Source organism: Homo sapiens, chromosome 4 (genome assembly GCF_000001405.40).
Source record: "Homo sapiens chromosome 4, GRCh38.p14 Primary Assembly".
Lineage (NCBI taxonomy): Eukaryota > Metazoa > Chordata > Mammalia > Primates > Hominidae > Homo > Homo sapiens.
Genome location: NC_000004.12, coordinates 144,196,361 through 144,209,546, shown reverse-complemented (window position 1 = coordinate 144,209,546; position 13,186 = coordinate 144,196,361). Strand labels below are relative to the sequence as shown.

General features: G+C 38.9%; 1 long non-coding RNA gene across 2 annotated transcripts in view; it reads left to right on the top strand.

The window, feature by feature from the left end:
* Nucleotides 1–8,086, top strand: part of LOC105377462 (uncharacterized) — a 360,687-nt gene extending 352,601 nt beyond the window's left edge. For both annotated transcript variants that reach the window (XR_939273.3, XR_939272.3), the window contains one exon: nucleotides 7,569–8,086. This is a non-coding gene — a long non-coding RNA (uncharacterized LOC105377462). The remainder of the gene's footprint in view (nucleotides 1–7,568) is intronic.
* Nucleotides 8,087–13,186: the final 5,100 nt, after the last annotated feature.

Here is a 13,186-nt window from a genome sequence, read left to right as displayed (position 1 = left end):
CATCTTGTAAAGAAGGTGCTGTGCTTCCCCTTCACCTTCTGCCGTGATTGTAAGTTTCCTGAGGCCTCCCCAGCCATGCTGAACTGTGAGTCAATTAAACCTCTTTCCTTTATGAATTACCCAGTCTTGGGCACTTATTTATAGCCGTATGAAAACAGACTAATACACTCAGGCTAAAGTAGTCTGGTAGAAAAGGACCGACTGAGCCAGCAAAGTAGATATGAAAGAAGTCAAAGAGGTGGAGGAAAACCAGAAAATGAGTGCCATGAATGCTAAGAGAAAATGAGGGTCACCTATGTTGAATGATTCTTAGAGGACTAGTCAAATGAAGGAAGTTGCACAACGCTTTACTTTTCATCAAAGTTTCGTATCCTGTGACCCTCGTAGCAGTTTTATAAGGTAGGCAAGTCACATGTTTCTCAAGGCCCAAGTAAGATTAACATCCAGAACAGTTAAGTATGTGTCCAAGCTTATGCATTAAGGATCCACATGTTCTGACTCTAGTTCATTTATTGCACAAACCATTATGTATATCATGGTTGTCTGAAATAATCTTCAACGAGTACAGATGCAGTCCATCATTTAGAAGAATTTCATTGTAGACACATGTTGACAATATAGAAATAGTTTAAATTCTGGAAGTTCTTTGAGAAACCTTATACTGGAGAAAATAGATATTTTAAAAAGACTTAAGTCTGACTAGATAACCATAAAGTGTTGTATGAACTGCAACTATTTTACAGCTACTAAAACATTACTAAATAAAAATTATAGGAAGGCAAAACACTTCAGTCAGATTGAAGACTGAGTCCATTTCAACCTGAGATTTATTTTAAGACTCCATTATTCTAGAAAATTTCCAGGCCAAATAAATCAGTGGGATAACTTGAAAATTTAGATTGTAGTTGTTCACGTAATTGTTGGGATTTAAGAGTGCCTGGTAAATGACACCCCTTTCCCTGCCTGAATTCTGAATATCTGAAACAGGAGCCAGTCTGTTGGAGATAAAACTTTATGCAACAGCTGGGTTACAGTACATGGCTTAGATATGCAACCAGTGGGATTTTTACCATTCAGTGCCCCCACCATTCTGAATCCAGGCCTGTGAAAATAGGCATCCACAATACCTAGTATTGCTGCATTGGACTGTTCAGATAAAAAAGAAAAAAAGTTTCCAGTATATACAGCCTTTTAATATATCTGCCCTCTCAATTAAGAAATGTTGACTAATAGATGTCATACACTGATCAGAAAGAGGAACAGACAAGGACGAGAAGTGTGTCAGAGGTGGGGCAAGCCAGGAGTGTCACTGTTGCATGGTGTCACTCTTCAGACTAACCTAATGACAACTGTGGATCCCTAGAACCCAATCCCACATTGAGAAGATTGAGTGAGAAGGAAACACGTGGCAAAATAGAAATAAGATGACATTAGAACTCTACATAGCCTCTAAAAGAAGTATCATTTTGGATGCATACAATTGCACATACAGGAACACACAAATGATGATCTGGGAGCCTCCTGGGAAACATGTATTTCATACCCTACCAAGTGGCTAACCACTAGGTTAAGTGACTTTGGCTTTGCTTCCTTCACGTCATTAAACATTACCTAGACATGATACTAATATTTTTCAATACTGCAAAGCACATCAATTTGAAATAACCGTGTTTGCAGAACTCTTCTTTTAGGTTCTTATATTCTGAAACAGACACTGATTTAATTTTCACTAAACCTTTGTTTATCAAAATAAGAACTTTTTTTAACAAAATCATTTCTTCTTAAAAGTTTTTTTTTTTAAAGAAGTTAAGCATTTTACCTGATCGTAGAAACCACACAGTGTTCCTTGCAATAAATGCAATATAAAATTATCAGCAAAAGGGGCTGGGGCAGACACATAGGAAATAGCAGAACAAATAAGACAAATAAAGAAAACCATAGAGGAAAAAATCTACATTTTGCATTCCATCATTAACAGTAAAGCCTGTGGTGATGAAGACTGAAGACAGCTTTATCCACGCAAAGAAACACAAAATAAGCAAAATATTTCTTCCTTTATAATTTACAATGTTGTTTCTTAAGCTTCATGAGCAAAATTCCAAAGAATACTAATTATTAACATTTTTGAGGCTAACAAAATAGCCAAGCCCTCAAAACTACTAATAACAACATTTGGAATATGCTTAATAGTTTTAAAATGTTTTCTTTCTCTGGCTACATTACAAGGCAACCTATGTAGGCTGTGAAGATTATTTAAGGGACTGGAAGAAACACACATACTTGGATGCCTAAATACAATTGAGAAAAAAATGTCAGTATAAACCTCGAAATCAGTAAAAATTGGGATTATTGTTGAGAATTTGGTCCTGGGACTTATTCTTGCCTTTTCAATTTAGACACTTAAAAACATAATCCTTGTATTTCAAGTTTGCCATAGTTCATTGATGAAAGAAAGGATTTCATAAGTCTGTGTTTATTAATCACATTGTGTTTAAACAAAAAACTACCCACATGCATAAACATCAAAACAGTTGTTTTTTGCTGGTGGTGGCTGATGTGTGCTGCTTTTACTATTCTTTTTTTATTTGTTAGAACTGTCTTTCCCTGATAGCTGTTTTCTAGTGAGTATCTGCTAGAGAAAAGGTATGCCTGTTGGGGTTTTAAAAGTGCTAAATAGTTTAATTAATAATTAGGAGTCAATGATGATGGGACAGGAGGTTTTACTTAAGCCATATTGAAAAATACTTTGTGCATAAACGGAGTAATTCTTTGAGTGCTTTCTCTGACTGCTTGCAGTCAATTCCAGTGCAAGGACCCACACAGAGTGTTTAGTCACTGAGTGCCAATTGATGGCCTGGTTCTGTTCTCTGTGGCTGGCATGCCCTGAAATGATGACATTACATAGGTAATGAAGCTCTGCATTGAGTGAGCTCATAATTCCCGCTTTCTGAAGATTGACTTATTCTGCATTTTCTCTGTATTCATGTACAAAATTTCAAAATGAGCTCTAGTCACAAGGTATTTTAGAAATTGTGCTGGTTTTGAATCAATCAAACGCTATTAAACACCACCTCATACCCTATATTTGGTTCAGTTCTGAAGAAAATCTGAAAACCTTTTTAAACATAGTCTGTGACAAAAAAAATCTACAACCCAGTTTGGAAGAAAAAAACTCACACAGAAATGAAGCAGAGAGCAACAGAATTGCTAAACTTCTGTGCATTTAATTGATATTACTAATAGCTTAAATTTATTGAATAGCTTTTGTATATTGCACTTTGTACTAAGGACATTACATACATTATCTCATTTGATCTCATACAAACCATCTGAGATAGATTTTTATTATTTGACCCATTTTATAGGTGAGCAATGAGACTTATGGAAACAAATCTGCCTAATGCCATTTAGCTAGTAAACACAAAGAGAAGTCCAGAACCTAGCCCTCTTTGACCTCTCTGTCCACACTCTCAGCTACTAGAGGATGGAGACTGGCAGGAGAAAAGCAGAAGGTTCTGGAGTCCAGGTAAGCAAAACCTAAAGAGATTTCACATCCAGGATTCAAGGCTGAAACTCATTCTTCAGCTGTTGGGGTGAGGCCAGTGCTAGGGAAATGTGAATTGAAGCACAGTTCTGCAGTTTGGGATTTTTTTTTTAATTAACTTTTAGACAGGCAATACTAAGTCTGTGAGAGGGGTCAGTTGACCCCTAAATGCATGGACAGAAGGAAGACAAAGGCCAGGAGCAGGCAGGGACTCACACACCAAGCTGTCTTCTCCAGATCCCAGGGCTGTGGTAGCAAATGGGTTGGTGCTGTGATGATTCGAACCTATTAGGTTCTCTGCAAGAACCTAATCAGCTGAGCATTCACCCAATGAATGAAATAGAGGATGGTCCTAATCCTGGATAATAACCATTTAATGCGATGACTGTCTGTCTCTCAACTCAACAGTAGGTGTAAAATGTATTCTATATTTAAAAATGAAATAAATGTTTTTCATAGATGGTATGAGCTCCTTAATATAACGGAAGGCTTCTCAGGACAGAAGATGGGCTTTTCAGGGTCCTATAAAGCAAAGCATCTTCATATACTGCTCTAGAGGAAATTGTCCTGGGGAATCAAGTCTGTGAGCCAGTTTCCTCCTTCTATATTATCCCTGAGCTGAGCACATCAATGCTGTGTCTTATATTGCATTAGAAGCCTTCCAACAGCCAAAGGACTAAACACCTTTAGTGTTGCAATCTCCTCTCTTATCTCTGAACATTTCTTTGGAAAACTATAACAGTCGTTGCAAAGTAATATTTCCATCATTCTCAGGCTTTCATTTATATATAATGCACAATTAGTAAAATCATTTGGACTAATGCACTTAATCCACTAATCCAAGTGATGCTTCTTTGAGCATGTTCAGGGTTTGACAAGATATTTGTTCATTGCAAAGGATTATTCCTTACATCCTGTGCTCGCTTGTAGACTGAGCTTCAGAGACACTGTGGCAGGTGGGGTCCATAGGTTAAGCCTACCTGAATGTTAACAATATCAGGTGAGAATTGCTAATTCCAAGGTGCTTACCTCTGGGTGTCACTGACAGCAGAAGCCCTTTCATTAGACACAGCTAGATTTACTGCCACGTTCTGCAAAGCACTAGAGAAAGAGAGTTTGGGCCAGGGAGTCAAGGGGCATGAAGGCCACTCCAAGTCTACTGGCTCAATATTTAACTGAGGACATGTGGCTTAATTGTACTCAGATTCCTCAACCCTAAAGTCAAAGGAAAATAATAATTAAGATGTTTTAGTGTCTTTAGTGCATTCCACCTGATAGGTTAGTCTTTTTCTGACCTAAAGAAGTGAAGTGACTTGTTCAGGGTGAAGAGTTTCTCAATACCTAGGTAGGGAGGTGCTCTCATATTCCTGCCTTGCAGCACAGTGCTCTGCTTACTGTACTGTCACCATGGCTATGCTGCCAGCCTTGGTTGGAGGAAAAGTTATGAAACCATTTAAGTTTGCTTTTGCTGAGTATTCAACTCAACCTTTTACAAAGTTATAGGCCAATGTTTCTTTTTAAGGCAAATGTTATAAATACATAAATAAGCTGCTTCAGGCTTGCAAGTAAGCTTTGTAAACTTGAATTTCATCCTTGTTTAGAAGCTGACTCAGGCTGGAGTTTGTTCAAACTCCTGTTTTAGCTCAAAAGAAAAATGCCTCCCAAACATTAGCCTCTCAACACTTGTGCTTCAAATTAGCCAGTAGGAACTGAGATTTCAATAGACTATTCATTCTGAAGCAGAGAACAGTACCCCAAATACAGTGGCATTCACATTAAGTTCTCAAAGACTATCTGTCCATTTGTTTGTCAGTCTCTTTGTAAATCCAAATTGTCTAAGAGAGATTTAAGTATCTAGTCATATTTCCACCAACAGAAGTATGAATCTAACTTTAAAACCAAGAACACTTTTCTTTACTGATATAGAATCTATCAGGCATTATTTTCTATGCCTCATTTGTCTACACTGACAATTTGTTAGGAAAGTCGACTCCTCCTCTTGGTAATCTCCGCAAGTGTGTCAGGCAACTCCTTGGCCACTTTTGTGTCTATGCTGCTGCCTTGCCCTGTACCTTGATGTTGTATAGAACCCAATCAGCAGAACTCTTAACATGCTTAGTCTTTCAGTCCTTGAACCAATGTTTAGTCATCTCTTGAATCAATTTTGGGCTCATAGGCACTTAGCCATTTATCCTGATCCTTTGCCTACATGCTTTAAGTGTTCTATTTTTTCTCTGCAGTAGATATGATTAGTTGCATCCACTCCCCACTTCTTCCTCCATAACAGAATGCTAATTGTCTCCAGGTATTCACCCCTATGTCACACAGCCAAGCATCTCCCTAGGAGCTATCACCTTGCCTCATCCTTGCCATTCCTGTTCAAAGAATGGATCTGATTGAGAAAATTTAAAGTCTTCAATTTCTGTGACTGATGTAGAAATAGATACGGACACAAAGCACAAAAGAAGTATGAACTAAAAAAAACCCAGCTACATCATAGGCCAAAGGGTAGCTCAAAAATCAAGAATTAAACACATGATTAACTACTAACAATGTGCATAATACTCAATATTAGCATAATATCTCTCTGGAGAGGCATTTGTTATTGACTTGAAAGGTCCTAATGGCGGTCCTCTACATACTGTCCTTAGCCTGTCAGTGAGTGAGCTTTTATGGATATATTAGTCCTTTTTACACTGCTATAAAGAACTACCTGAGACTGGCTAATTTATTTAAAAAAATAAAAAGAGGTTGAATTGACTCACAGTTCGGCAGGCTTAACAGGCAGCATGGCTGGGAGGCCTCAGGAAACTTACAATGATGGCAGAAGATGAAGGGGAAGCAAGCACTCTCTTCACATTGTGGCAGGAGAGAAAGAGAATAAAGGGGGAAGTGCCACACACTTTTAAACCATCAGATCTCATGAGAACGAGAACAGCAGGAAGAAAATCTGCCCCCATGATCCAATCACCTCCCACCAGGCCCCTTCTCCAATTCAACATGAGATTTGGGTGGGGACAGAAATCCAAACCATGTGGACATGGAATTCAAAGGATTTTTATCCTCCAATACGTTAATTGCCCTAAATAGGTTTATATATATTGTCTGTGTAGTCAAAAGGGTGAAAAGCTGAACTATGTAATCATATGTAGTATGAGATAAGCCGAAGAAACTGCCCTAGAAATTCTGGTATAACCTTGAATGATTAGATCAGAATATTTCAAGATTGCTGTACTTTGAAATTACTGGAATGTTTTAAGAATACTGAGTCCATTAAACTGAGAAAATTGTAAAAGGAATATAAAATAGAGAGAGAGAGAGAGAGAGAGAGAGAGAGAAACCACAGGAAGAAGCCACTCCAAATAGGAATAGTGAGATTAGATGGCAAAATTATAAAAGTAGGGCAACAATATCTTTGTTTATTTTGTTTTGTTGCATGTTTGGTGGAATAATATTGAAATGTTAAATATTTACAAAACATAAAATAAAATGTCATTTAGTAATATGAATGTCTGCCCCTATCTACCCAAACCCATACAGCATATCGTTTATTCCTTTAGTCCTCAACCCCTTCAGATAGTTAGGCTTTGCTATAGAACTTTTTAACTTCAGAGAAGGGATGTGACAATACAAGGCAGAGTGCTCTTTCTGCCTGTTTCTGGCTCTCAGTAAATAGAAAGGACTCATAGCATGGATAAAGTATTTTGGAAAAGACATCATGAGTCAGAGCAAATATTCCTCATCCCTTATGTTCCACCACACCCTGGGCCTCAGACTAACAACAAACAAAATTTTCATGTTGGAAGAAGAAAGGAACATCAGAGATAAGCCATGAGAGTTTGGTGGGTGAAAAACATGACTCTAAAATCCTTTGACACTCCTCCCATTGAAAAGAAGGGGTCTGCATCCCCTCAACCCAAATCTGTGTATTATTTTGACTTCCTCAACCAATGGCAGAAGTAATTTTGTGTGGCTTCTACGGCTATGTAATAAAAAATGATGCAGCTTCCACCTTATTTTCTAGAACACCAGCTCTTAGTGCCAGGAACTGCCAGGTAAGAATTCTGACTACACTGAGGCCACCATGCTCTGAGGAAGTCAAGCCAGATGGAAAGATCACAGCAGGAGAACTGGTCAGCAGTCATACTCTTGAACTCATCCCAACCCAGACTCCAGACATGTGAATTGACAAGTCTTCAGATGATTCCAGCACAAAGCCATTGAGTCACCTCCAGCCATTGAGTGTCCCCAGCCGAGACACCAGTCACCATCAAGCAGAGCCAGTATGCCTGTTATGCCTGTCCAAATTCTTGACCCACTAAATTCTATGAAATTAATAAATGGTTGTTTAAGTTACTAAATTTTAAACTTAATTTGTTATGCAGTAATAGGAATTGTTCCTGTCTGTGAGCAAGTCCTCATGGACAATAAACTCAGATCTGTCTGTGGAATCTGGGAGAAAAAGAGACTGTTATCCTTCCCCATGGTACAGCCCCAGAAAGATAAAAGTCTCAGAATAAAACACTGTACATGCATAGCTCATTTTATTGGGCTTTGTTTATTGCATCTCACAAACGTTACGCTTTTTACAGACTGAAGGTTTGTGGCAACCCTGTGTCTATTGAGCAAGTCTACCAGCACTATTTTTCCAACAGTATGTGCTCGCTTTGTGTCTCTGTCTCACATTTTGGTAATTCTCACAATATTTTAAACTCGTTGATTATGATTATATCTGTTATGGTGATCTGTGATCAGTGACCTTTGATGGTACATAGTAAATATTTGGGGGCACCACAAACAGTACCTATATAAGATAGCCAACTTAATTGATAAGTGTTGTGTGTATTCTGACTGCTAAACCAACTAGCTGTTTCTAGTCTCTCTCCCTCTCAGAGATTGTTCCCAGAGATACAATTATATTGAAATTAAGCTAATTAATAACCTTACAGTGGCTTCTAATTGTTCAAGTGAAAGGAAGAGTCACACGCCTCTCACTTTAAATCAAAAATAGAAATGATTCAGCTTAGTGAGGAAGGCATGTCAAAAGCTAAGACAGAAGGAAAGCTAGGCTTCTTGTGTGAAACAGCTGAGTTGTGAGCAAAAAGGAAAAGTTCTTGAAGGAAATTAAAAGTGCTATTGCAGTGAACACATAAATGGTAAGATAGGAAAATAGCCTTCTTGCTGATATGGAGAACATTTTTGGTGATCTGAATAGAAGATCAAAGCAAACACAACATGCCCTTGAGCCAAAGCCTAATCCAGAGCAAGGCTCTAACTCTCTTCAATTCTATGAAGGCAGAGAGAGGTGAGAAAGCTGCAGAAGAAATGTTTAAAGCTGGCAGAGGTTGATTCATAAGGTTTAAAAAAGCAGCTCTATCCATAACAGAAACGTGCAAGGTAAGCAGCAAGTGCTGATATAGAAACTACAAGTTATCCAGAAAATCTGGCCAAGATAATTGATGAAGGTGGATACACCAAACAAGAGATTTTTAATGTAGACAAACAAAACTGACTTCTTTTTAAAAAAATTTTACTTTAAGTTCTGGGATACATGGGCAGAACCTGCAGGTTTGTTACATAGGTATACATGTGCCATGGTGGTTTGCTGCACCCATGAACCCATCACCTAGGTTTTAAGCTCTGCATGCATTAGGAATTTGTCCTAATGCTATCCCTCTCCCTGCCCCCAACCCTGACAGGCTCTGGTGCGTGATGTTCCCCTCCCTGTGTCCATGTGTTCTCATTATTCAACTTCCACTTATGAGTAAGAAAATGCAGTGTTTGGTTTTCTGTTCCTGTGTTACTTTGCTGAGAATGATGGTTTCCAGCTTCATCCATGTCCCTTCAAAGGACATGAACTCATTCATTTTATGGCCGCATAATATTCCATGGTGTATATGTGCCACAGTTTCTTCATCCAGTCTATCACTTATGGGCATTTGAGTTAGTTCCAGGTCTTTGCTATTGTAAACAGTGTTGCAATAAACATATGTGTGCATGTGTCATTATAGTAGAATGATTTATAATCCTTTGGGTATAAACCCAGTAATGGGATTGCCAGGTCAAATGGTATTTCTGGTTCTAGATCCTTGAGGAATCACCACACTGTCTTTCACAATGCTTTAACTAATTTACAACCCCACCAACATTGTAAAAGTGTTCGTATTTCTCCACATCCTCTCTAGCATCTGTTGTTTCTTGGCTTTTGAATGATCACCATTCTAATTGGCATGAGATGGTATTTCATTGTAGTTTTGATTTGCATTTCTTTAATGACCAGTGATGATGAGCTTTTTTTCATGTTTGTTGGCCACATAAATGTCTTCTTTTAAGAAGGTCTGTTCGTATACTTTGCCCACTTTTTGATGGGGTTGTTTGTTTTTTTCTAAAATTGTTTAAGCTCCTTATAGATTTTGGATATTAGACCTTTGTTAAATGGATAGATTGCAAATATTTTCTCCCATTCTCTGGGTTGCCTGTTCACTCTGATGATGGGTTGTTTTTTGTTTTTCTTTTTGTTTGTTTGTTTGTTTGTTTGCTGTGCAGAAGCTCTTTAGTTAAATTAGGTCCCATTTGCTTTTGTTGCCATTGCTTTTGGTATTTTAATCATGAAGTCTTTGCCCATGCCTATGACCTGAATGGTATGCCTAGGTTTTCTTCTAGGGTTTTCATGGTGTTAGGTCTTACATTTAAGTCTTTAATCCATCTTGAGTTGAGTTGTGTATAAGGTGTAAGGAAGAGGTCCAGTTTCAGTGACAAAAGTACCTTCTATTGGAAGATATCATCTAGGACTATCATAGCTAGAGAGAAGTCAAAGGCTAGCTTCAAAACTTCAAAGGACAGGCTATCTTGTTAGGAGATAATGCAGCTGGTGACTTCAAGGTGAAGCCAGTGTTCATTGACCATGCTGAAAATCCTAGGATCATTAAGAATTATGCTAAATCTACTCTGCCTATTCTTTAGAAATAGAGCAACAAAGCCTGAATGACAGCACATCTGTTTACAGCATGGTTTACTAAATATTTTAGCTCACTGTTGAGACTTACTTCTCATTAAAAATATTCTTTCAAAAATTACTGCTCATTGACAATTGACCTGGTCACCCAAGAGCTCTGATAGAGATGTGCAAGGAGATTCATGTTGTTTTCATGCCTGATAACACAATATCCATTTTGCAGCCCATGCATCAAGGAGACATTTCAACTTCAAGTCTTATTATTTAAGAAATATATTTTGTGAAGTTATAGCTGCAATATATAGTGATTCTTCTGAGGGATATGGGAAAAGTCAGTTGAAAACCTCTTGGAAAGAATTCTCCATTCCAGATGTCATTAAAGACATTTGGGATTCAAGGGAGGAGTTCAAAGTATGAATAGGAGCTTGGAAAAAGTTGATTCCAACCCTCACAGATGACTTTGAGGGGTTCAAGACTTCAGTGGAGAAAGTCACTCCCAATGTGGTGGAAATAGCAAGAGAACTAAAATTAGAAGTGGAACATGAAGGTGTGACTGAATTGCTGCAATCTTATCATAAAACCTGGACAGATGAGAAGTTGATTCTTATCAATGAGCAAAGAAAATGGTCTCTTGAGATGGAATTTATGTCTGATGAAGATGCTGTGAACCCTGTTGAAATGACAACAATGGATTTCGAATATTACATAGTTGATAAAGCACCAGTAGAGTTTGAAACGATTGACATTAATTTTGAAAGAAGTTCTAATGTAGGTAAAATGCTATTAAATGTTATCACATGCCACAGGGAAATATTTCATAAAAGGAAGAGTTGACCAACGCAACAAACTTCATTGCCTTATGACCCTCCACCAGCTGAAATATTATGATTTACTGAAGGCTCAGAGGATTGTTAGCCTATTTTAGCAATAAAGTATTTAATTAATGTATGTGCATTTATTTAGACACAGTGCTATTGCACATTTAATAGACCACGGTACAGTGTAAACATAACTTTTATATACACTGGTGTATTACTCTATTCTCACATTGCTATAAAGTGCTACCTGAGACTGAGTAATTTATAAATAAAAGAGGTTTAATTGACTCACAGATTCACAAGCTGTACAGGAAGTATGGCTGCATAGGCCTCAGGAAACTTTTGATCATGGCAGAAGGTAAAGGGGAAGTAGGCACATCTTCACATGACAGAAGAGAGAGAACATGGAGGGTGCTATACACTTATAAATAACCAGATCTCATAAAAACTCACTCACTATCAAGAGAACAGCAAGTGGGAAATACACCCCCATTATCCAGTCACCTCCCACCAGACCCCTCCTCCAACAATGGGGATCACAATTCAACATGAGATTTGGGCAGAGACAAAATTCAAACCATATTATTCTGCCCCTTGCCCCTCCCAAATTTCATGTCCTTCTCACATTTCAATATACAGTCATGTCTTCCCAACAGTCCCCCAAAGTCTTAACTCATCCCAGCATTAATTCAAAGTCCACAGTCCAAAGTCTCATCAGAGACGAGGCAAGTCCCTTCCACCTATGAGCCTGTAAAATCAAAACCAGTTAGTTACTTCCAAGATACAATAAGGGTACTGGCATTGGCTAAATATTCCCATTCTAAAAGGGAGGAATTGGTTAAAACAAATGGGGTACAGTTTCCCTGCAAGTCCAAAACCCAGCAGGGCAGTTGTTATATCTTGAAGCTCCAGAATAATCTCCTTTGACTCCATGTCTCACATCTAGGCAACATTGATGCAAAGGGTGGGCTCCCACGGATTTTGGGCTGCTCTGCCTCTGTGACCCTGCCTTGTGGCTGCTTTCACAAGCTGGCATTGAGTGCCTGCAGCTTTTCTAGGTCCATGATGCAAGCTGTTGGTGGATCTACCATTCAGGGGTCTGCAGGATGGTGGCCCTCTTCTTACAGCTCCACTAGGCAGTGACCCAGTGAGGACTCTGTCTGGGGGCTCCAACCCCACATTTCCCCTCTGCACTGCCCTAAAAGAGGTTCTCCATGAGGGCTCTGCTTCTGCAGCAGACTTCTGCCTGGACATCCAGGCATTTTCATACATCTTCTAAAATCTAGGCAGAGGCTCCCAAGCCTGAACTCTTGCCCTCTGCACACCCACAGGCTTAAGATCATGGAAAGTCACCATGGCCTATGGCTTGCAGCCTCTGGAGCTGAAGCCTGAGACATATCTGGGCCCCTTATAGTCACAGCTGGAGCTGGAGCAGCTGGGATGCAGGGATCAGTGTCCTGAGGTTGTGCAGGGCAGCAGAGCCCTGCCTTCCCAGGAAACCATTCTTCCCTCCTAGGCCCCCGGCCCTCTGATGGAAGGGGCTGAAGCAAAGATCTCTAAATGTCTTTGAGGCATTTTACCCATCCTTGGCTATCAACATTCGCCTCCTCCTTACTTATGCAAATTTATTCAGTCAGCTTCAATTCCTCATCAGAAAATGGGTTCTTCTTTTCTACCGCATGGCCAGGCTGCAAATTTTCCAAACTTTTATACTGTGCTTCCCTTTTAAATATAAGTTTCAGTTTCAGATTATCACTTTGTTCATGCATAACATAAGTGATCTTGGATCTAATTCCCAAAAAGTTCCTCATTTCCATCTGAGACTTCCTTAGCCAGGATGTCATTGCCTGTATCACTATCAGCATTTTG